This window comes from Homo sapiens, chromosome 7 (assembly GCF_000001405.40).
Source record: "Homo sapiens chromosome 7, GRCh38.p14 Primary Assembly".
In the NCBI taxonomy this organism is placed as follows: domain Eukaryota; kingdom Metazoa; phylum Chordata; class Mammalia; order Primates; family Hominidae; genus Homo; species Homo sapiens.
The window spans coordinates 26,101,639-26,127,591 of record NC_000007.14 but is presented as its reverse complement, the minus strand read 5'-3'; the positions used below and the strand labels follow the sequence as shown (position 1 = coordinate 26,127,591).

Sequence of the window (25,953 nt, the reverse complement as noted above, 5' to 3'; positions counted from 1 at the left end):
GCACAAAGCAGTCACCTAAGTCTTGCACCTGCTGTGACTCAGCGCACACCCGAGTGTCAAATTGAGATTTAACAGGATGCCAGTACCAGCGGCAGAAAGAGCATTTCACAATGATGCCACCCAAATGGTGCCAGGGAAGGGAGGAGAGAGCCCACTGCGTCCTGCCGTCAGCTATGCAAGACTTTCTGGAGCCTTTCATCTAACAGCCGGGGACGGGCTGATATCTGGCTTCCTTGGAGTAGCTTGCAAAACAAATTAGCATGGACCTGACATTTCAAATTTGCCAATTGTAGATTTTCAAAGTGTATTGAGCGGTGGGGCGTGGGGCGGGGGTTGGTTTCATGATTGCTGCTAAAAATTTTTGCCACTCACATGACTATATACAATTTTCACTGATTTAATTACTGCTTAGAAAAGAAGTTGCCAGATTGAGGTGCCCAGGAAAAGACATGAGCAGCGTGCATCACATTACTCATGGTGTCCAAGGCAGAGTCAGTATTGATCAAAACCTTTCAGCAGCCTTTAGTCTACATCCAGTGGTTTTAAAGTGACATGTAATTAGCTGACTTATTTTGTGGTCCCTTCCTCATGATTCTGCCTTGGACAAGTTCAAAAGAGATTTGCCTGCAGGTGTTAATATAAATCTTTCAATTCAGTATCCTGGGGGCTTACAGAAGTGCTCTCAAGTGCTTATGGGAGAAAATCTTGAAAAGATGGTAGATCCATTTATAGGAGAGGTGGCAAACTATGAACAGTTTAGAATATAGAAAAAAAGATGTATGTATCTGCTTTAAGCATCGTTTTATTAGAACTCAAGGCTTACTCCGTAAGTGGTAAAACCTAAGGCTTGGCAGCATTTTTAATACTCCAGGGACTGCAGCTAATGTGAAAAGGGCTGATTTGGTTCATGGCAAGATCCAAATGAGTTCTAGAATAATCAGAAAATCCAACTCAAAATAAGTGTTGACTGAGTGGTTCCAAGACTGACAGCTGTTCCTGGCAGGTGGGGTGTCTACCACCTGGATGCATTTGAATCATTGTCACAGAGCAGGCGAGGACCTAGCTGGCATCTCCTCCAGCTTCCCCTGCTTCCAGTCCTGCAATTGATTCTTTGACAATCTAGATGGTTGAACATGTCCAGGACCTCACAGGCAGCCTAGCTCTTGGGCGCTTGCCCTGCTCAAAGTTTGTAAAGTCTTCCTGTAGCTTCTAACCATGAGGCCTGATCTCTGGAACTTCTCACAGTGAATCTCACTTCTATAAAACAGGCTTTCTAAGATTTGAAGTTAGGTCTTATGTTTCCCATACTCTCCCTTTTCCTTTTCCAGGCTAGTTCTGTAGATTGGGGTGCTTCTGAAGTGGCTCACTTATTCAAAGAGGGTGAACTTCCCATAGAGCAGTGCTTCAGCCAAGCAATACCAGTAGCCATGCTTCTGAACCAGGCTCTCCAAAAGGCCCACATGCACTTTTCCAGACCAGCACCCCTTCCTCCCTGGCAGAGTTTCCAGACCTTTCACCATCCTGCGGGACAGTTCTCTGGGTGGCCTTGGACTGGCCCAGTTCTCTCCCTCTTTCTTGCTTGCAGTTCTCAAGAATAACTGTAGAATGTGCTGGGAGTGCAACATCCCAAGATAGGGAGGGACTGACTGGAACAGCCTGAATTCTCTCCAGCTCCCCCCTAGAAACAGGATGTCCTTCAATGCTTTATCCCAGCAACTCATGTTCCCTGGGGTATAAAACCCAGGTAGGTCACTTTTTGGGTGACCTTCAGCTGCTGTGCAAGTGAAGCACTTGTGGAAGACTCCATCCACCTGGGCAGCTTTCCTGAGCCCTGGGGAACCAGCTCACCATGAATCCTGGGCTTCTTTCTGTTGTCTCTTGTTGCCTGTCTGAAGTAATAAATCCCCTTCATATATATATATGAGTTATTAAGTATTAACTCACATGACCACAAGGTCCCACAATAGGCCATCTGCAAGCTGAGGAGCAAGGAGAGCCAGTCTGAGTACGAAAACTGAAGAACTTGAAGTCCAATGTTTGAGGGGAGGAAGCATCCAGCATGGGAGAAAGATGTAGTCCGGGAGGCTAGGCTAGTCTAGTCTTTTCATATTTTTCTGCCTACTTTATATTCTAGCCGTGCTGGCAGCTGATTAGATGGTGCCCACCCAGATTAAGGGTGGGTCTGCCTTTCCCAGCCCACTGACTCGAATGTTAATCTCCTTGGCAACACCCTCACAGACACACCCAGGATCAATACTTTGTATCCTTTCAATCCAATCAAGTTGACACTCAGTATTAACCATCACAAGTCCACCCCTTGTCAACTTGAACCCACACACATCTCCTGAGATCATACATAGTCTTCAAATAAAGACAATAATAAGGTCATAGTTATGCCTAACATAATACAACTATCCTTCATACAACCAGAAACACACCAATCATCAACCCAAATATTATTACATAAAATTAACAATACTTAAATGCTGATATGAGGTCAACAAATCTTACGTCACATGGTAAAGAAAATAGGAAATAAAGTGAAATAAAATTAGTATAAGTGTATACATGCACAAACATGTTTTTAACAAAAGAAGGAGGAAATACTCATGACAATTACAGTCCTTGTTCCTGCAGCTGATCACGTGGTCATAGCTGGTATTGATGACTACCTTCTTCTACTACTCATTCTGTATTCCCTTTGCCTTCAGCAAGCATCTCGGCAGGTCGTGTTTTTTTTTTTTTTTCCTGGTGGAGTGAACCAAACCTTCATTCCTGAAGGGTCTAGGCCATTTGTAGCCCTACCTGGCTTGGGCTGTTGTAGTTTCCCATTGACCTTAATCACAGGGCGTGGTAATACTAAGAGACATCCTAATGGATCTCCTGTATTCCATGCATACTCTTCCTTGCCTTTGCTGTGGAGTAGTAGACTGATTTCATCTTGATAATCGGGGTCAATCACCCCAGCCAACACTAACTCCCTTAGCCTGTTGACTTAAAGACAGGAGGATCCCAAAGTGTCCAGGTGGCACTTGTAACTTTCCAGTTTAATGGAATCGTTGTTGTATCTCCTGGTGGCAGCGTTCCTCCCTCTGGAACTAAGACCTCTAGGCCAGCAGAATGTCATGTTGTGGGAACAGGAGGCACAAATTTTGCTAGTGGATCACTTGAGGTAATGGTGAGTGGTGCCACTTCCACTTCCACCCCTTGATTCCTGGATCCATGAATCCTGGCTATGGGAGAAGCAGTACAGTATACTGGACGTTGATTCAGGGCATACACGACCTTCTGAAGAACTTTGCCCCAGCCCTGCAAAGTATTGTCATGTAGTTGGCATTGTAATTGTGACTTCAAAAGGCCATTCCATCGTTCTATCATTCCAGCTGCTTCAGGATGTCGGGGAACATGGTAAGACCGGTAAATTCCACGAGCATGAGCACGTTGCTGTACTTCTTTAGCCATAAAGTGAGTGCCTTGGTCAGAGGCAATGCTGTGTGGAACACCATGATGGTGGATAAGGCATTCTGTGAGTCCATGGAAGGTAGTCTTGGCAGAAGCATTGCGTGCAGAATAGGCAAACCCACATCTGGGGTAAGTGTCTATTCCAGTGAAGACAAACCTCTGCCCTTTCCATGATGGAAGAGGTCCAATACAATTAACCTGCCACCAGGTAGCTGGCTGATTACCCCGAGGAATGGTGCCATATTGAGGGCTCAGTGTTGGTCTCTGCTGCTGGCAAATTGGGCAGTCAGCAGTGGGCGTAGCCAGATCAGTCTTGGTAAGTGGAAGTCCATGTTGCTGAGCCCATGCTTAACCTCCATCCCTGCCACCATGGCCACTTTGTTCATGGGCCCATTGGGCGATGACAGGGGTGGCTGGGGAAAGCGGCTGAATGGTGTTCACAGAACAGTCATCAATTCACTTGATTATTAAAATCCTCCTCTGCTGAGGTCACCCGTTGGTGGGCACTTACATGGGATACAAATATCTTCACAGTTTTTGACCACTTGATAAGTCCATCCACACCTCTTCCGCAAATTTCTTTGTCACCAACTTTCCAATCATGTTTCTTCCAAGTCCATGACCATCCAGCCAAACCATTGGCTACAGCCCATGAATCAGTATATAAATCACACATCTGGTCATTTCTCCTTCCATGCAAAGTGCACAGTCAGGTGCACTGCTCAAAATTCTGCCCACTGGGAAGATTTCCCTTCACCGCTGTCCTTCAGGGATGTCCTAGAAAGGGGTTGTAGTGCTGCAGCTGTCCCCTTTCAGGTGGTGCTTGCATATCATGCAGAACCATCTGTGAACCAGGCCCTAGTCTTCTCTTCCTCTGTCAACTGATCATAGGGAATTCCCCATGAGGCCATTGGTGCACGCTGAGGGAGAGAAGGCAGGGTGGCAGGAGTGGAGACCATGAGCATTTGAGCCACTTCCTTATGTAACTTACTTGTGCCTTCAGGACCTGCTCGAGCCCGATTACGTATATACCACTTCCATTTGTTGATGGAATGCTGCTGTGCACCACCCACTTTATGGCTAGATGGGTCAGAAAGCACCCAGTTCATGACAGGCAGTTCAGGTTTACATGGTGACTTGATGACCCATAGCCAATGTTCAGTTTCCACCAAGGCCCAGTAACAGGCCAAGAGCTGTCACTCAAAAGGAGAGTAGTTATCTGCAGAAGAAAATTCTCCATTCTCCTCTTCCCCCAGCCCCTGGCAACGTCTGTTCTACTTTCTGTCTCTATGAATTTGCCTATTCTAGGTACCTCATAGAAAATACTTGTCCTTTTGTGACTGACTTATCTTACTTAGCATAATGTCCTCAGGTCCATCCATTTAACTTAAGGCTGAATAATATTCCATTATACACACACACACACACACACACACACACAAACATCACAACACATTTCGTTTATCCATTCATCCATTGATGGACACTTGGTTTGCTCCCACCTTATGGCTATTGTGAATAATGCTGTGACATAAGTGTACAAATATACGTTCTTATCCCTGCTTTCACTTCTTTTGGGTATATACCCAGACGTGGAATTGTATGGTAATTCTATGTTTAAAATTTTGAAGAATCATACTATTTTCTACAGCAGCTGTACCTGTTAATTCATTTTCTGCTACATATATTTTATAGTATAAATATAATCTTTAGATATTGCCAAACTTTTTTCTAAAGTGGTTTGCTAATATATATATAACCATCAACAGTGGATTAAGAATTCCTAGTGATCCATATTTTTGCCAATACTGAGTATTATCAGATTTCTTTATTTTTGCCAATTCAGTGGCTTTAAAATGAATATCTTATGATAGCCTTGATTTTAATTTCCTTGATTATCATTGTGATTACTCCTCATTTTATACGTTTGAAAGTTTTATTTTTCACATGGAAGTCTTTGGTCCATTTAGAATTATTATTTTTGAGATGGAGTTTCCCTCTTGTAGCCTAGGCTGGAGTGCAATGGTGCAATCTGGACTCACTGCAACCTCCTTCTCCTGGGTTCAAGTGATTCTCCTGCCTCAGCCTTCCGAGTAGCTGGGATTACAGGCGCCAGCCACCACACCCTGCTAATTTTGTATTTTTAGTAGAGACGGGTTTCACCATGTAGGTCTCGAATTCCTGACCTCAAGTGATCTGCCCGCCTCGGCCTCCCAGAGTGCTGGGGTCACAGGCATAAACCGCAGCGCCCAGCCCATTTAGAATTATTTTTTATGTATCGTGTATGATACGGGGTCTACTTTCATTCCTTTGTTACACGGACCACTGAGTGTGCTGGCTCCATCCTTTTCCCAGTGTACCTCTTACATGCCAGGTTTCTGTATCTGGTGGGTCTGCCTCTGAGCTGTCCATCTGTTCCCTTAGTCAATTTGTCCACTTAGGTTAATGGCATCTCCCTCTATAGTGATGGATCAAGAGGGACTGATGCTGGGTTAATCAAGCACTTATCCCGTACTGTAATCGCACCTGCATATGGACTGTGTGGTTAGAATTGGCCCGCTGGCTTAATAAAACATGGTCCATGCACTCATGGAGCTCCCAGACACATATTTAAATCCTGATGCAATGTAATAGTGTGGCAATGGAAGAATATTTGAAATGTTATGAGAAAAAAACAGTGAAGGAAACAATTAATTCTAGGAAGAGGGTGTCCAAGAAGGTAACAGTTATGGAAGCTGACTATGTCAAACAGTAGGTGTATAACATCATGGGTGAGAGCTGAGATCTAGAGGTAGACAAACTCATATTTGAATCCAAGCACCCACACTCATTAGCTGTGTGACCCTGACAAATCCCTGAGACCTCGATGAGCCTTGACATCCTTACCTATCCCACAGGGGTAATAATAGTGCCTACCTCAGAAGGTTGTTGGGAAAATTAAAATACATCATGTGTCAGGAGCACATAGCAGTACCTGACGTATTGTTAAGTGCTCAGTAAACATAAACCTCTGAATTCATCCAATAATACTGAGTACCTTCTGTGTGCCAGACATGGTAATAGGCATAAATACAAGTCTGAGCAAAGCAAATGGTCTCAGCACTCATGTAGTTTTCAGTGGGATAGATAGGTGCTCATCAAATAATGACACAATTAGATCATGAAAGACTTTGATGAGAACTACAAAGGGAAATTATATAGTAAGCTAAGACAGAGTTGAATAGGGAAATGTGATTTATGATTATTATTTTCACTACTTCTGAGCCAAAACTTGAAGGATGATTAGGAGTTTCTGGGGGAGTGGCAGGAGGGGAAGGTCATTCAGGCATTCTGAACTTCAGAGGAAAAGGCCTGGAATGGGGAAAGCTCTTCCCAAAGTCAGGGGCAAGGGCAAAGTACTCCTCACTGCCCAGAGGCTTCAGGGGGATTTTTCTTACCCACCTTTCCCAGGAGACAGGCAAGAAAAGGAAGCCGAGTGACTGCCTGTGGCTCCCAAAACATGTCTTGGCACTCAGTGAACCCCAGTTTTTGGTCAGTGTGAAAAATTCTCAGTGCCATTGGCCAGCTCCTTGGTAATAATAGGCTGAACATGAATGGCGAAAATGGCTCAAATTGAATTGCAATGAAGTCTTTTTGATGTAAGTGTTGATTAGAAAAGGATTTAGGACTGACTTTAATTCGGTGCTCCAAAGCTCAAAGATTAGAAAAAAAGCACTCAGAGAAAAGAAAGTTGTGATTAAAGGTTTTCCTAAGACATACGTGAAGTATTTTGACAGGCTGACAGTGAACACTATTTCTCATTTAGAGTAAATGTGATTAAGAGTTATATTTGCAAGAAGGGAAAACTAGGTGAGTATGAGGGATTTTGTTCTGGAACAAGTACAATCCAATAGCTCTCAAATTTTAGTGGAGCCTGCTAGCAAATTTAGGCTCCTTGGCCATCCCCTAGACTCGGTGGGAGTGCCCTGGGCCCAGGGCTCTGCATTTTTAACCAGTGCTCCGTGCCACCCTACCCCCAACCTGCCCAAGGGATTTCTGATGCTGGAGAATTCACTGTGAAAAACCTTATAGACTTAAGTCTTTAACTCTTTCCTTTCTTTGTCTTTGCTTTCAAATTCCTTTTTTAGAAGGATCTCAAGATTGGGCTCTGGCAGGGTATGGTGGCTTATGCCTGTAATCCCAGCACTTTGGGAGGCCGAGGCCGGTGGATTACCTGAGGTCAGGAGTTTGAGACCAGCCTGACCAACATAGTGAAAACCCATCTCTACTAAAAAATTATAAAAATTAGCCAGGTGTGGTGGCGGCCACCTGTAATTGCAGCTACTTGGGAGACTGAGGCAGGATAATTGCTTGAACCTGGGAGGCGGAGGTTGCAGTGAGCCAAGGTCGTGCCACTGCATTCCAGCCTGGGCAACAGAATGAGACTCTGTCTCAAAAAAAAAGAATGGGCTCTTTCTTTTCCATTTCTCCTCACCTCCCTCAGTGTCAGCTGGGCACCTTAGGCAGGATTTCTTGGACAGGTAGCATGAGCATGTGAAACTGGGAGGGTGGGAAACAGGAATTAAGCTGATCGGGCAGCCAGCCTATCCCAGCCAAGTCAATCTGCTTTTCTACACATTGTTCTGGCCAAAAACACCTATCTTTAAGCTTTATGCTGCTCACTGCTGCCAACTGGCCACCCAACCATGGATTCATATAAAAGTGTTGGAGTTAACAGCATAGGCTCTGGACTTGGGTGACTTCAGTTAGAGTCCCAGCTCTGCCACTTACTAACATGCAACCTTGGACAAATTACTGAACCCTTCTGAGCCCTTCCTTCCCTTCTGGTGTGGAAAGGCTTCTGTGAGGATGTAACAGGGTAATAAGTGAGTGTGTCTGGCACAGGCGCTGGCATATAGTGAGCAGGCAACATGGGGCACGCTCCTACCCATCGCATGGAAGGTGGACAGCACGCTCCTACCCATCGCATGGAAGGTGGACAGCACCAGGCAGACATCTGGTCCTGCACACAGTCCCTCTTGTTCTGACTGCTGAACTTTTGCTGTTACTTCTTCTCGGATAAACTTCCATCTCATTCTCATATTCATTTTATTTATTTATTTATTTATTTGAGACAGGGTCTCACTCTGTCACCCAAGCTGGAGTGCAGTGGTGTGATCACAGCTCACTGCAGCCTTGACCTCCCAGGCTCAAGCAATCCTCCCACCTCAGCCTCTGCCTCCCACATTCCTGGGATTACAGGCATAAACTACTGTACCCAGCCATAGTTCCCATATACATTTAACTAAATTATTTTCAGAGCTCAACTGAAGTCCCATTTCTATGAAATCTTTCACTGCAGCAGTAGCTTTAGCTTCCAGAGATGTTTTCTTTCTCTAGATTACTGTTATGGCTTTAATCCACACCTGCCCCATTTAGGTTCTGGTTACATTCTGCTTTATACTGATTTTTAATCATTACATGGGCATTTTGTCATCTCATCTAAAATAAAACTCTTGGAGGTCAGGGTCAATATTTTGCTTCTAGTAACTGCAGGAAAAACCTGTATACATGAAAAGGAGGTAGAAGTTTGCATTGCCAAGCTGGGTGTGGTGGCTCACGCCTGTAATCCCAGCACTTTGGGAGGCCAAGGTGGACAGATTTCTTGAGCCCTAGAGTTTGAGACCAGCCTGGGTAGCGTGGTGAAACTCTACAAAAACTACAAAAAGTAAATCAGACATGGTGGTAGGTGCCCGTAGTGCCAGCTACTTCAGGAAGCTGAGCCCAGGAAGTTGAGGCTACAATGAGCTGTGATCGAGCCATTGCACTCCAGCCTGGATGACAGAGTGAGACCTGTCTCAACAACAACAACAACAACAAAAGGAGTTTGCATTGACTAGCTTGAGGTACTCTCTTTTTCTTTCGAGATGGGGTCTTGCTCTGTTGCCCAGGTTGGAGTGCAGCGTCATGATTATACTTCACTGCAGCTGTGATCTCCTGGACTCACGCAAACCTCCCACCTCAGCCTTCTGAGTAGCTGAGACTACAGTTGTGCGCTACCTACCATGCCTGGCTAATTTTATTTTTATTTGTTATTATTATTTTTTTAGAGACAGGGTCTCACTATGTTGCCCAGGCTGGTCTTGAATTCTTGGGCTCAAGCGATTCTTCTGCCTCAGCCTCCTGAGTATCTGAGAGTACAGTCTCGAGCCACCATGCCCAGCTGATGTAATTTTTCTTGCCTAGTGAAGAGTGAAGGCTCTGAATTTTCATAATTCTCATATATGAATTCTTAAATAATTTTCAAAGAATCATGCATTCTTTATATTCGATTTCACATTTCACATATACAGAAATATGTGAAATTCATTAGCAAACTATATCTACCCCTTTCTCCTCAACACACGCACACTCCAAAGGAGGGACAATTGGAAGCCAAGATTATCATAAAAAAGCTGTTGGTACTAGGATGCTAATCTCCGCAGTTTCCACTGGGGGCCGGTGTCCTCTCCTCTTATGTGCACACATGCTGATGCGGGGGGTTGTCATCCTCAGTCCCAACCCCTTCCTGGTTGGTTGTGAATGGGTCTGGAGGCTTCTGGTGGCTGTCCCTATCACTGCCCCACTGTGGCTGTACTCTGAGGCAGAGGCTCTGCATCACTGCTCTTCAAATGTTTTGCTTAGACACTGTTCTCTTCCCATCCCCAAAAAGGACACCCTCTTCAAGCAAAATGCCCTCAGCCAGCAGTTGACAGTCTGCACTGAATATTATCACAGCTGCTCAGAAGCAGGTTGGCAGTTCCTGGGAGGCTGGGCTGGGGGCATTTGCGTGACACATCCCTGTGTGGCAGTCTTCACTTTCGGTCTTGAAATAAAGCATGCAACTTTTGAATTTCCTCTACCTTAGTTTTCTGTCTTCTGGGGACATTGTTTCCAAAAGGGCGGCTTTCAGAGGTCTCAACCTCATGGTCTGGGAGCTTGATCTTTCATCCCCAGCCCTTTCCCTTTTCCTCCTGGGAAGCCCAACGTCTTTCCTGCAATGTGACTTCTACAGGCCTGCTGTGGCATCCCAGTGACATCCAGGAAAGGCCCCCCCTTCATCTTGACACCAAATGTAAGCATCCAAGGTAAGCATCCTGCCATGAAGTGGGTCTGCAAATGGGTGAAAGAATCTTTTTAAAAAGTTACCATTTCTCTTAGAAGAAAAATCTCAGTTTAAACTCTGACAACCAGTTTCTCTGGTCAACTCCCGTTTCTCTAGTACATTTTCACATGAAGTTGGGCAGACTTGTCCTCCCACTTTTGAGAACAGAGAACACCTAATTTTCACAGTCCAGATTCCCTATTTGTATTAAAAGAATCTCTCCGTATGTTTGTCAAACCCTGAAGGCTTTCTTGGCTTGTATGATTTTATCCTTTACAAAACATCTTACTCAATTTAGGATGAGAAAACAAACCCATGACAAACTTTCACTGCCCATGGGTGTTTACCATAAACTCCCCTACTGCCTGCAGAGACTTTTTGTTGTGGTCCTGTAAGTTGACGAATGAAAAGAACTTACTTTTCCAACTTTCTTTGGCTTACTTTGTAGTGAGGTTTTGCAAGGTTCTCAGCAGGAGGAAATTAAGGAGGACCAGGACCAGACATCTATAGATCTGTCCGTTTCTAGAGAACAAGTACATTTTACAGGACTCTACAAAAGACAGTTCGCAGCACTGTACTTCAGAGCAGAGTCAAAAGACCAAGTCACGTGAAGTGGCTTACAGTGAGGAGAAAAAATGACCTGGTGTCTTTTAGTTATGAAGTTGCCAATACTCATCTTGAGGGAGAAATTCACGAGTTTCACCAACACTATAAGCTTCCAATTCAATTCAAAAACCCTGATGTTGCCAAATAGAAACGTACGCCCTTATTCATTCTCAAGTAGAATGAAATAAAATTGTCTATAAAATATTTATCAGCTCTAGGTTAGTGTTTGAATTATAATATCTCCTGCAGGCTTTAAAATGTCCTCTCTCTGCTTATTTCATTATTGAGTAGGCAGACAAAATTTTTTACTTAATGCAGTGACTATAATGTGTTTACTGGGATTAATTTACACACCCTTGAGGATTAATTTAATTCCTTTATGATAGCAATTTTTCCTGGGATATTTTTCCCCCAAGGGGTCACATCCAAATTTATTAGACTGTTATATGGGCCACAATTATTTGGGTGTAACTGAATAATTTATGTCCATGTTTGCCAAGCCTGGCTGCCCATCAGAGTTACCTGGGGAATGTCTTAAAAATATAGATTTCCACGTCCTTCCCCAGATCCAGTGAAGCAGAGTACAACCCGAGAATTCTTGCATTTAAAGATGCTCCCTAGCGATTTAGGTGTAGCAGCCTAGTTAGTGGACGAGGGTTTGGGAACTGATCAATATAGTTTAGTTTCGTGTGATTTTAGGGTAAAATGTTATTGCTATTAGCTGTAGAATTTTCTGTTGCTAACACCACATGCCCTTGTCGCTTTTCCTCCTGCCACTCACCAGAATTGCCCAAGCTTCTCTCTCTATATTAGAAGTAGAAATAAGAGGAGGAGAACAAGTGAGATGAGAAAGGTTTGGAGTGGAACCGTGTTGTCACTGATGGTGGTCACTGTGACCAGAGGAGCCAGCAGGAGCAAGCAGAACAGACCCCAGATAAGGTTCTCACTCTCCTTCCTGCTGGCCTAGCCTGTCCCAAACTTTTTGAGTCAGTGTTGCCCTATTTGACTGGGTCACTGTAAGCCCTCAAAAAAGTGAGGTTGGTCCTGGGTTACATCCCAACCTGAATTCACCTTGCTCAGTGACGTGAATTGTTATCTGGGCACAGGGCTTGAAAAACACTGACCAGTAAAGTTGATTGATGAGTAGACATAGTTACACCATTTCAAAGCCATCAAGTCTAAAACAACCACAACAAAAACTCTTAAAAAATCCTTAGGTGTTGTTTCTGTCTTCTTAATGCCAATGAGAGGCTTTCCTGTATTGCACGAAGGACATCCATCTATTTTATTTATTTATTTATTTATTTATTTATTTATTTATTTATGAGATGGAGTCTTGCTCTGTCGCTCAGGCTGGAGTGCAGTGACACGATCTCGGCTCACTGCAGCCTCTGCCTCCCGGGTTCAAGCGATTCTCGTGCCTCAGCCTCCCGAGTAGCTGGGATTACAGGTGCCCACCACTAAGCCTGGTTAATTTTTGTATTTTTAGTAGAGACAGGGTTTTGCCATGTTGGCCAGGCTGGTCTTGAACTCCTGACCTCAGGTGATCCACCCGCCTCCGCCTCCCAAAGTGCCCGGGGTTACAGGCGTGAGTCACCACTCCCAGCCTAGATCCATCTATCTTGAACTAAAAGTTAATCTTCTGGTTTAATCTAGGATTTTATGAAAATAAATTTGTCTGTTAGAAAAGTCTTACCTGCGCTACGAAAACATTTTAAGGCATGCGTTTTGGGAGCACATGGCTAGTTCCAACCACACAAAAGGCATATGGTAAAAAACAAGCTCCTTCTCATCCTTTCTAGGTTTTATTCCTTAGAGACACTCACTGATACCACTTTCTTGGCTATTCTTTGAAAAATGTTTTGTACTCATATCAAATACTAGCTCATACATATATAGGCATCCCCTTATAAAACCAGTTGTTTCCAGCCTTTTTGCTGTTATAAAAAATGCTCTAATGAACATGTATACATATACATACCTGTATCTGTGTCTCTGAACCATGGGGCAGTATATCTGAAGGAGAAATTTTGGGAAGTAAGATTACAGGCTCAATGAGTTTTGATAGATAGTCCAAATTGCCCCCAAGGGCTTGTGCCACTTTACCACTCATCAATGGTGTGAAAGTCATTTTGCTGTATGTTCTTATTGTTTCTAAAAGCATTTTGTTTTTTGAGATGGAGTTTTGCACTGTTGCCCAGCTGGAGTGCAGTGCTGTGATCTTGGCCCACTGCAACCTCCCCCTCCCAGGTTCAAGTGGTTCTCCTGCCTCAGCCTCCCAAGTAGCTGGGATTACAGGTGTGTGCTACCACGCCTGGCTAATTTTTGTATTTTTGGTGGAGAAGGGGTTTCACCGTGTTGGCCAGGCTGGTCTCAAACTCCTGACCGCAGGTGATCCTCCCGCCTTGGCCTCCCAAAGTGCTGGGATTACAGGCATGAGCCACTGCGCCAGACCCCCCCTTTTTTTTTTGAGTCAGGGTCTCGCTCTGACACCCAGGATGGAGTGCAATTGTGTGATCAAGGCCCACTGTAGCCTTGAACTTCTGGGCTCAAGCAATCCTCCTACCTCAGCCTCCCAGGTAGCTGGGACTACATGTGCATGCCACCACACCCAGCTAATTTCTAAATTATTTTTAGAGATAGGGGTCTCACTATGTTGCCCAGGCTGGTCTCCAACTCCTGTCTGGAACTCCTGGGCTCAAATGATCCTCCCATTTTAGCTTCCCGAAGTGCTGGGATTACAGGCATGAGCCACCACACCTGGCCCTCTAAAAGCTTTTCTGTTGATTTTGCGTGTTTTTCATGATATATAATAGTCATCTGCAGATCAAGATAATTTTACCTCCTTATTTTCCATTTTAATACCTCTGTTTCTTTCTTTTGCATTAGTAATTCTAGAGCAATTTAACCAATAATGGTGAGAATGGGTATCTTTGTCTTTTTCCTGCCTCTAATGGAAAAGCTTCCATTATTTCCCCATTAAGCATAAAAATTAAAAAAAGAATTTTTTCTTAACTGAAATTTCTTTTTAAAAAATCAGGAATAAAATGTTATCAAATGCCTTTTTGGAATCTATATAAATTATTCTATTAAAAATCATTTATGACATTAATTTAAGACTGTTCAGGAAATCTAGGACTTTCGATTGCCTTGAATCTGTCAAAAAATGTTATGGTTACAACATTATTTTTAATATGAAAAACCCTAGAAACTATGAAAATATCTCACACTAGGGAAATGGTTATAGCACTTTCATGTAGTGAAAAACTATGCAGCTCTTACAAAAAATAATGAAGTAGATTATCTATGCCAAGATGAATCAATCTGAGACCTGAGGTCAAATAAAAATGGCAAGTGCAATACAGTGTGTGTTCTTATTTGTGTAAACAAAAAGGGACATCACATGTAAATATACATATATATACAAAGAAAAATTCCAGAAGGATAGAGGTCAAGATCTGAGACAATATACTGTGTCTGGATTTAAAAAAATCTTGTGCATTTATTCCTTTTGCCAATGAAAAAAAGAACAGCAAAAAAAGTAACATAATCATTATGTGGGTGCGGTGGCTCACACCCATAATCCCAGCACTTTGGGAGGCCGAGGCAAGAAGATTGCTTGAGCCCAGGAGTTCGAGACTAGCCCGGGCAACATGGCAAAACCTGATCTCCACCCAAAATACAAAGATTAGCTGGGCATGGTGGTGTGAGCCTGTAATACCAGCTACTCAGGAGGCTGAGGTAGGAAGATCACATGAGTCTGGGAGGTTGAGGCCGCAGTGAGCTGCGATCAGATTTGGTGACTGAATGAGACCCTGCCTCAAAAAAAAAAAAAAAAAAGTAATGATTAAAGTTTTTTTTTGTTGTTGTTCATGTTAAAAGTTTGTACACCAGTAACCAAAAGGGGAAAAACAAGCAATATTCAACACAACTAATTATGGGTAAAATTTTCGTTCTTTGATGTGGCTTTCTTGTTTTGTTTTTCATTTTGTCCCTGAGGTGGCAGCCTCATCCTTTCATGCTAGTGCTGGCTCTATGATGAACCACCAGATTCTGAAATTTTCCCCCTACTTTTCTGTAGTAGGAGCTTATCCCAGCTGAGCTGGCCTCACTCTTGCATCCGAAGGAGTCACGTAGAGCTTTCAGAGCAATTGTTCTCCGAATAGAGTTCCCAACTCAAAACTTAATAGCAAATGGAAGCTTCTTTGGTCTTGTGCTGATAAAGACTCTTTCAGCCTGGATGAACAATAGGGAAATGATTTACTAAATTAGGGCCAACAATACGCTGATATACCCTTTGTAAAAAATTGTGATTATGAAACTTATAGGAGAAAATACCTGCCATAATCATAAATGAAAGCAGCAGATGAACAGATCACATATACATCATGAATCTAATTTTGCAGAAACAAAAGGGGGACATATTGATCAGCCAGCTTTTAGAGTGATTTGGTAAATTGGGTATTTGGGTTTTTCCCAAACATTATCTTAATTTTGGCATTACATGAATGTATTGTATTAAAAAGTTAAAAAGGAAGCAGTAAAAATTGTGAGATCCTAATATGAAAAAAGAAAATATGTTTTCTTGTTTCCCTTTAATGTCCTGATATGAAGAAGGGAAGTGCCCAGGCTCAAGGTCACGCATAGCTAAGAAAATCAAGACAGAATCATAGTGCAGAAATGACTCTTTGATTGCACTTCTGGGCACACAAATGGGGATTCTGCCGTGGCAAGGTTGGGCACAACTATGAGTATAAAATCCCATTATGGATGGATTCCACTTGGAACTTCCTAATGGACGGTGGCCACCATGGTTTGAGTTTATATCAGCGTGACTGGCCCTGCTGCTCATTCATCATTTACAAGTGCTCTGCCTCACCGTGTCTTGATACAAGGCCCAATTATTCTCTAGGTTGATATAAATTATTTGTTATTGGGGGACAATGGTTTAGCAACTTAGGGAAAGCTTTAGAAAATTCTCCTTGAATGTCCAGAGAGCTTGGACTCTGGGAAATCTGATTGGTGACCATTGTTGGGAGTAGATTTGCCTCCTTTCATTCCCTTACACATTTTATCTCTCAGCTAATATGGTAACCAGCACTGCTCTCTGCTCATTAATTGCCAGGCATATCAGGTAAGGCCCAGTCTTCCTCAATTTCTTTCTTCCTATTCTAAAATAAATAATGCCCAGGGGTTATTCTATTTCTGCCTCTTTCCAGGTGTGACTTTGTCTACGTAGGTAGATATAGCACTATCATCCGTTTGGCTAGTGCTAAACCACTCTGCTGCTTTGCTGACTGCTGCAGAAGCCTTGCCTCGACTAGAATACATCCTCTTGTCTCACCTGTACAGTGTCCTTTGGGAAAAGTGGGTCTTCATAAGATGACACTTGAAACCTTCCTACTTTGGTCAGTTCAGAGAATGACTAGATGGGGAGAGAAGTCACCAACTCTGAGGTTTTGTGAATTAGCAGCTGAGAGATTACTTATATTGCAGGGAAAAGTAAAACCATGAAGGTTGAATTGGAAAAAGAGCAGAACTTTGGGAAAATGTGATATGTAGGGACATTTTTTGCAACCAACTTTTAGTCACATAATCAACCTTCAGCAAAAAGCTGAGACTAGCAATGAAAGGCATCAATGGAGAAATTCCAGGAAATGATTGGCAAGGAAAAATCTCAGTAAAAGCAGTAAAGAGCACTTGTCTGAAATTTGAAAAATCTGAATTTTCTTTTTTTTTTTCCCTCGGGAGAAAGGGATTATAAAATTAAACCAGTTAGGCAGGGGCTCGGTGGCTCATGCCTGTAATCCCAGCACTTTGGGAGGCCGAGGTGGGCAGATCACATGAGGTCAGGAGTTCGAGACCAGCCTGACCAACATAGAGAAACCCTGTCTACACTAAAAATACAAAAATTAGCCAGGCATGGTGGTATGTGCCTGTATAGTCCCAGCTATTTGGGAGGCTGAGGCACGAGAATGGCTTGAACCCAGGAGATGGAGGTTGCAGTGACCCAAGATTGTACCACTGCACTCCAGCCTGGGAGACAGAGCTGACTCTGTCTCCAAAAAAAAAAAAAAAAAGTTCGTAGAAAAGTGGTATTAAAAGATGAAAAATATAAACTTTATAAACTTTATTTCTCAACGTAAACTCCATCAAATTCAAGACATCTTTGTAAGTGATGACACCAGCCATTTAGTCCATTTCTAAAGAACTGAGGGTCCTGGGAATTTAACCATTTCAATGCTGTTTTTTTTGTTTGTTTTTTTTTTTTACATTATCAACTGAAGAAAAATGGATGCCCTTTAAATTTTTATTTATTTATTATTTTTTGAGACAGGGTCTCACTCTGTCACCCAGGCTGGAGTGCTGTGGCATGATCTCTGCTCACTGCAACCTCTGCCCCCCGGGCTCAGGTGATCCTCCCACTTCAGTCTCCTGAATAGCTGGGACTATAGGCTCCCAACACCACACCCAGCTAATGTTTTTGGTATTTTTTGTAGAGTTGGGGTTTCACCACATTGCCCAAGCTAGTCTCGAACTCCTGGACTCAAGCAATCCACCTGCCTTGGTCTCCCAAAGTGCTGGGATTACAGCATGAGCCACCACACCTGGCCTAAATTTTTTCTTAAGATTAGAAAATTAAGAAGGTCAGAAGGAGCCAAATCAGGACTGTAAGATGGATGCCTAATGATTTCCCATTGAAACTCTAGAAAAATTGCCCTTGTTTGATGGGAGGAATAAGCAGGAGCACTGTTTTGGTGGAGAAGGACTCTCTGATGACACTTTTCTGGGTGTTTTTCTGTGGAAGCTTTGGCTAACTTTCTCAAAATACTCTCATAATAAGCAGATGTTATCATTCTTTGGCCCTCCAGAAAGTCAACAAGCAAAATGCCTTGAGCATCCCAAAAAACTGTTGCCATGACCTCTGCTCTTGAATGGTCTGCTTTTGCTTAGACTGGACTTTTATCTCTTGGTAGTCATTGCTTTGATCGTACTTTGTCTTCAAGATCATACTGGTAAAGCCATGTTTCATCTCCTATTACAATTCTTCAAAGAAATTCTTCAGGATCTTGGTCCCACTTGTTTAAATTTCTGTTGAAAGCTCTGCTCTTGTCTGCAGCTGATCTGGGTGCAATGGTTTTGGCATCCATTGAATGGAAAGTTTGCTCAACTTTAAGTTTTCGTTTAGAATTTTCTAGTTGAGAACCAGTTGAGATGTCTATAGTGTTGATTATTGTTTCTGCAGTTAATTGTCAGTCCTCTTTAAATAGGCACAAGCAAGATGAATTTTTTTTTTTTTTCCAAATTGAGATGGATGGTCTGCTGCTGCGGGCTACATCTTCAACATCATCTCATCCCTTCTTAAAACAAGGCTGGGTGTGGTGGCTTGTGTTTGTAATCTCAGCACTTTGGGAGGCTGAGGCAGGAGGATTGCTTGAGCCCAGGGGTTGGAGACCAGCCTGGCCAACATAGCGAGACCCCCCTCTCTACAAATTGAAAAACAAACAGACAAACAAAAAAACTAAGTTATCTATTTGCAAACTGCTGATTTCTTTGGAGGCATTATTTCCATAAACTTTTTGTAAAGCATCATTGATCTCACCATTTTTCCACCCAAGCTTCACCATAAATTTGATATTTGTCCTTGCTTCAGTTTTAGCAGAATTCATGTTGCTCTGACAGAGGCTCTTTTCAAACTTATGTCTTATCATTTTAGTGCCTTAAACTAGATCCTGCTCAGACACATAACGTTAGTCCAGTTTACTTTTGAAATCTATGCATAGTTTTTTCATAATATGTATTTTCCATGAACTTTTTGCGGGGGGTAGACAGGATCTTGCTCTGTCATCCAGGCTACAGTGCAGTGGCATGATCATAGTTCACTGTAGCCTCAAGCTCCTTGGTTCAAGGGATCCCCCGGCCTCAGCTTCCCAAGTAGCTGAGACTACAGGAACATACCACCATGCCAGGCTAAGTTTTATGTTTTTGTAGAGACAGGCCCTCCCTATGTTGCCCAGACTAGTCTCAAACTTCTGGGCTCAAGCGATCCTCCTGCCTTGACCTCCCAAACTGCTGGGATTACGGACGTGCACCACCGTGCCTGGCCTCTATGAACTTTTTGAAGACCCTTTGTGTGTGTGTGTGTGTGTGTGTGTGTGTGTTAGAGAGAGAAGAGGTATTTTTTATTTCATTCTGGAAAAAAATATTTAAACAAAAACTTAAAATCATTAGATAAGGAGTTGAAACCACTCAAGTGCACATGAATTATACCCCTGAAATCAATTTACCGGTCTCCAGGAAATGGAAGAATCCACCAGGTGCCCAGGGATAAATTGTGATTTGGGGTTTTGACCATCAGGTTTCTCATTTGTCCAAGCAGCAGGCTGTTTCCGGGCATCTCTAAGGCCTTCTCAATTCTAGCCCAAGGACATTCTTTAGTTAGTTATGGTGTCAGTATGTGGCAGAAATGCCGTCACCAAGCTCTGCCGGGGTTTCAACCAGTGCTCCAAGTGGTCCTCACGGAGTGGGTGGGGGTGAGAGGCTGGCTGAGCGCAGCACCCAGTCATGCTCCTCAGTGTCTTCTCTTTCCTACCTTCCCTTCCAGAGTGCCTGGCTTCCCCCATGGCAGCTTTGAGGCTATGCCCACATTTTACAAAAGTCTTCACATTTCATGAGCCGTCTTCAAGGTCCATATAAGACAATTTCGTGACTGAAGAGAGGCAAGTTTCCACTTAACATCTGGGCATTTTTCATTTGTCTATTTGTCCCATGATGCTTTTGAGCAATGGCCAGACTCAGACGAGTTTTGGTAATTGTGGTGGACATCTGTTTTGGTCTGACCAACATCCCTTTCCCTGCCATTGGAAAACAGCAGCCAGCTTTTCCTTTCGGGGAACTACCCTGACTCCACTGCCTGCAGTCTTGAGGGAACTGTCAATCAAGGAGCCTTGGGTAGGTGAGATCTGAGACCCATGGCAAGCCAGTCAGACTCTTCAGGGAATTTGATCATGAGTGGAATGACATCAGATTGGAAAAATAATTCAGGTCCAACAAAGCATCATTAATTCCTGTTACGTCAAGTAGCACAGTGATGAGACTGCAATGAACTGAATGCGTCCTTCTCAAATTTGTATGTTGAAAGACTAACCCACAGTGTGATGGTGTTAGGGTGGGGGCTTTGGGAGGTTATTAAGTTGTTAAGGTGGAGACCTCTTTTTTTGTTTGTTTTTTTGAGACGGAGTCTCGTTCCTGTCACGCAGGCTGGAGTGCAGTGGCGTGATCTCGGCTCACTGCAACCTCCACCTCCCAGGTTTAAGTGATTTTCCTGCCTCAGCCTCCCCAGTAGCTGGGATTACAGGCGTGCACCACCACATCTGGCTAATTTTTATATTTTTAGTAGAGACGGGGTTTCGCCATGTTATCCAGGCGGGTCTCGAACTCCTATACTCAGGTGATAGATGGAGCCGTCTTGAATGGGATTAGTGCTGTTCCAAAGGGACCCCAGAGATCTCTCTTGCTCTTTTCTGCCATGTGAAGACTCGAGAATTAACCTGGATTCTCAACCCAGAAGAGGGTCTTTGCCAGAACCTGATCATGCTGGCACCCTCATCTTGGACTTCCAGCGTCTGGAGCTATAAGAAATAAATTTCTGTTGTTTCTAAGCCACCTCGCCTATGGTACTTTGTTAGAGCAGCCCCAGCTAAGACAGAGGCAGTGAAGCCTTTGGAGTGTGGCCTGTGGAGCTGGACTGGGATGGATTGAGCCAGAGACCCACTTACTAAAGAAACCGCCACTTACTAAGTAAGCCCTGGGGCAACCTTATTAACCTCCTGTGCCACTTTCCTCAGACTGTAAAAGGGAATACTAGTCCTTCCTTCATAGGGTTCTTGTGACATGATTAGTGCAGGTGTATTAGCCAGGGCTCTTAAATAGGATCCATTCAGAGTATTTTAAGCAGAACCAAATTGATGCATGGAACTAGGAACATAAAAACCAATGGAAGGCTAGAGAAGTGGGTCCCAGGCTGCAGGAATGGGTTCTGGAGCACGCTTCCCAACTGGCCTGCTGGGAGCTGCCTCCTTTGCCATCATCGGGAAGGAAGATTGTATGTAGACCATCACAGGACGATTGACTTCAAGAATGCAATGCCACAGCTGTGATCCAGGGACCAGGAAGCCACTTGGCTGCTACTTAACCACCTCTCATCACTCAAGAAGTTGGAGACTGGGCCGGGCGCAGTGGCTCACCCCTGTGATCCCAGCACTTTGGGAGGCCGAGGCGGGATCACGTGAGGTCGGGAGCTTAAGACTAGCCTGACCGACATGGAGAAATCCCATCTGTATTAAAAATACAAAATTAGCCAGGCATGGTGGTACATGCCTGTAATCCCAGCTACTTACGAGGTTGAGGCAGGAGAACTGGTTGAACCCAGGGGGTGGAAGTTGAGGTGAGCTGAGATTGCGCCATTGTGCTCCAGCCTGGGCAACAAGAGCGAAACTCTGTCTCAAAAAAAAAAAAAAAAAAAGAAGTTGGAGACTGGACAGTGGACAGTACTCTTCCCAAAAGCATGAAGATTATGGGGGCTCATTTGTTAGTGCTGAAACAATGGTAAAAGTGCTTTTTACCATTGTGCTACAAAAAAGCATTTGTAAACAAGTGATGCAACTTGCAGGGAGTGATCTAACTCTGAGGACCCTCTCAGCTTTATAATTTTATAATTCCCAAGTCACATGCAAAAGTCAGTTCCATTAACTTGTAATTATGCATCATATCTTTTGTGATTATAAAGAGGGAGGATTGCAATTCATGGGCCTTCCAGCAGACTAGAAGCATTTATTACCTGCATCTTACTGACACTCTTTCAAGGAGTTACTGCCTCATTTTGATGCAGTTATAACAGTGTGATTCACTTTTGTCATACTGGCCTGGTGAACTGGAGTTGGCACCAGGCAGTTGTCACTGTGATCACATATGCTGTTGAGGCTGTCACTGAGCCAAAGGAGAAGCATCTGAACATGAGTCTGGCAGGGAGAAGGGAAAGAAGGAGGATGAGGAAGCTGGTGCTGATTGGGACCTCACAGTCAGGTGTCAGCTGTGACAGAGAGTTGGGAAACTCACCTGCCCTGCAGAAGGCTGGAGGTCGGAGTGGGGTAGGATGAGGAATACTTTGGGTTCAAAGATGGCAATGTCAGCTGCAACTCCAGCTTGCATTCCTAGCAGGAGAGCTGACCTAACAGCAGAACACTTCACAGGAAAACTAGGCATTGGGAATGCTCAGGGGCTTGACAAGTGGAGATGAGTTCAGGAGTCTCAGTTCTTACCCAGTAGGCCTTCCCTAGTGAGGAGGGCATGCTGGGCTGTGAGGAGAGGATCAGAAAGGCTTACAGAGCTAAGCCAGGCATTGGAGCCACTTCCTACTTCATGTCACCACTGGGATTTAGAATGGGTCCCAGCCGGGCATGGTGGTTTATGCCTGAAATCCCAGCAATTTGGGATGCCAAGGTGGGTGGATTGCTTGAGACCAGGAGTTTGAGACCAGCCTGGCCACCATGGCGAAACCCCATTTCTACAAAAAATACAAAAATTAGCAGGGCTTGGTGGTGCGCACCTGTAGTCCCAGCTACTCGGGAGGCTGAGGTGGGAAGGACTGCTTGAGATCAAAGCTGCAGTGAGCGGTGATTGCACCACTGCATTCCAGCCTGGGCAACAAGAGCGAGACCCTGTCTCAAAAACAAACAAACAAAAACAAAACAAAACAAAACAAAACAAAACAAAACAACAACATCAAAACAAAGAACAGGTCCCAGTTACTCTGAGCAGAAATTCTACTAAAACAGCATTTCTTTCACTTGAATAGTACATAGACCTTTCTTTTTCTTAAATCAGAAAAGAAATTTTTACAAGCTAAATATTGGATTAAGCAGTTTTTATAACTATTCAAATATGTAAAAAAATATGTAAAAAATATAAAATGAAATCATGAAATCATTTAATATATAAAGTGATATATAATCATATATATATAAAATGATATAATGATAAACAGTATAGTGTTGCATTAAGAACACAATTTCTGGAGCAAGACCCACTTGGGTTTAAATCCTAGACCTGTCACTTACATGGTGTGTAACCTCAGGTAAGTTAATTTCTCTGTGCCTCAGTTTACTGACTGGTAAGACGCAGGAAATAGTATCTATCTCATAGGATTGTTTTGAGGATTAAAGAGTCAATCCATGAAAAAGGTTTAGCACAGTGCCTGGCATGTGGCAAGCACTAATTAGTACTAGCTATTATTATAAAAACAAAGCTGATGTATGAATGAAGCCCAAACACCACTGCAAAACCAGTATTTTATAAGTAAAACAACATTAGTTTAATATGACAGATGATGCTCTTGTCCTGAAACTAATGGTATAGTTATTGTCTTTGGCCTTTGGGTTCAGTGCTAATGCAGAGAATACCTGTTAGCTTTGCCTTGTATGCTAGCTCAGAATAATCCGACCTCATAGTTAATTAAAACTCTGCCCCTGAGCATTCCTGAAATGCCGATTTTAATGAAAGGCCACTTGCTCACTCTGAGGAACTGTCTTGTTCACTCAAAAGTAAAGTTAGCATTGCCACATGCTGGAAATCTGCCTTTAAGAAGTGTCTAATTGCATAATTGCTAGAATGAGGAACAGAAAGATTTTTCATTGTTCATTCACTGCCATATTCATAACAAACTTTTAGAAGATGGTAGGTACAAAATGGGGTCCATGAACACGAGAATGTTGCTTTGATTGCTACAAGTTTCCTTTGAGCTTGGATAACAAAATGTTGGGCACTTTATTTAAATCATTTTGGATTATTCATGGTTCATCACCACATGATATCATTTGGCCTTCACTTGAAGAGAATGTTTATGAATATAAATACAGACTGTAAATTATATGGCAGAGGCTGGGTGTGGTGGTTAATGCCTGTAATCCTAGCACTTTGGGAGGCCGAGGCAGGCAGATCACCTGAGGTCAGGAGTTTGAGACAGGCTTGGCCAACATGGTGAAATCCCATCTCTACTAAAAATATAAAAAATTAGCCAGGTGTGGTGGTGGGCACGTGTAATCCCAGCTACTCGGGAGGCTGAGGCAGGGAGAATTATTTGAACCTGGGAGGCAGAGGTTGCAGTGAGCCAAGATTGTGCCACTGCACTCCAGCCTGGGCAACAGAGTGAGACTCCATCTCAAAAATTAAAAAAAAATTATATGGCAGAATATCAATTTTTTTTTTAAAAAAGATTACCATCAGGCTGGGCGCGGTGGCTCATGCCTGTAATCCCAGCACTCAGGGAGGGCGAGGCAGGTGGATCACGAGGTCAGGAGATCGAGATCATCCTGGCTAACATGGTGAAACCCCGTCTCTACTAAAAATACAAAAAATTAGCCAGGTGTGGTGGTGGGTGCATGCAGTCCCAGCTACTCGGGAGGCTGAGGCAGGAGAACGGTGTGAACCCGGGAGGCGGAGCTTGCAGTGAGCCAAGATCGCGCCACTGCACTCCAGCCTGGGCAACAGAGCGAGACTCCATCTCAAAAAAAAAAAAAAAGATTACCATCAAAATGGAAAAACCAAACCAAACCAAACCAATACTCTTGTGGAGAAATGGAGACCCCCAGGAATTCAAATCCTCTCTCACTTTGGTAACCCAGTGCCTGGCACATATACAGTGGGTGCTCAGTACATGTTTGTTTCTGAATTAGGGAAAGACTCGAATGAGGGAAGTGAAGGCAGTCACCCACTCCTGTGTGTTAGGTCAGTATGGTGGGGGCAGGTGAGATGCTGGGATCTAGAGGTATTGTGGACCCCCAGGGCTCACCGTGGTACTCCAGCTCTGGGGCACCTTCAGGGAACAATTAGGAGCAGGGATGGTTGGGCCTGGGATGTCAAGTCTGGAAAGGATGACCTAATTATCAGCACAGTGGGTAGAGGGTAGGGCCGAGATTCCTGCCATTGGGATTGCACCAGAAACTGGGACTGCCCAGCCCTGCAGCTGGCCCTGTAGGTAAAAACAGATCTGGGCAAACCGGTCCAGTGTGGAGACAGGGAATGAGATAAACTCCACCTGAAAAATGGGACGAATCACACCAGATACATTCATATGAATACTGTCACTGCCTCTATTTTGCTCAATTGGGGGAAAAATTAATTTTAACCTGAAATTTAAGGCAAACAGTACCCAATACAATAACAAGTTTCTCCAACAGAACAAGGCGACCCACAGGTACAGCCATGTAGCCCAGTGGTATACAGATTCCTGGGCCCCAGGCCCAGGAGGTTAGGATTAAGTCTCTTTCAGAGCCCTGGTATCTGTATTTTCAACAAGCCCCAATCCCCCACCCCCACCGGGTGATTCTGATGCAGGAGGGCTGCAGCCCTGCCTTAACACTGATCCAGTTTCTTTAAAGACTCAACAGACCTGGCTGAGCTAAATAAGCTGCTGAGTTAATTAACGAAACAGCCAATCTTTATTGATTTCCTCCCACGTGCAGGACTCTGTGCTGGGTCTTAGCAAGAGAGGCAATTGTTTCCCATCCTCCCTCACTTTCTGCCCCACATTCAGTACCTGCTATCTTTTTCCGGTAATTAAACCTTCCTCTTGTGCCCCAGTTTTACTCACTGGGCACCTGCATTGTTCCCCTCTGCCAGAATCCACGTTGGTATTTGTCTCTTTGTTCCTCTGGAATCAGACTTCCAGGCTGCACCCTGGACTTGGGTCTCATCTGAGCTCT

General features: G+C 43.7%; 2 long non-coding RNA genes across 8 annotated transcripts in view, besides 1 other annotated feature; one reads left to right on the top strand and one right to left on the bottom strand.

Annotated features, from left to right (window-relative positions):
* Window positions 1-25,953, top strand: part of LOC105375199 (uncharacterized) — a 191,528-nt gene that overhangs the window by 3,198 nt on the left and 162,377 nt on the right. The window lies entirely within an intron of this gene.
* LOC105375198 (uncharacterized) lies at window positions 785-25,953 on the bottom strand. 2 transcript variants are annotated; one of them, XR_927111.3, is made up of 3 exons: window positions 25,788-25,953; window positions 13,173-13,207; window positions 785-4,382 (listed from the first exon to the last, which is right to left on the bottom strand). It is a non-coding gene; the product is annotated as an uncharacterized LOC105375198 (long non-coding RNA). The 2 variants fall into 2 exon arrangements; XR_927112.4 differs by lacking the exon at window positions 785-4,382 and adding an exon at window positions 7,874-10,593.
* Window positions 4,518-4,577: an enhancer, noted in NCBI's record as "active region_25778". NCBI's record gives its function as "activates an Ori minimal core promoter by ATAC-STARR-seq in GM12878 lymphoblastoid cells {active_cell/tissue: GM12878}" and the evidence as "EXISTENCE:reporter gene assay evidence [ECO:0000049][PMID:35858748]".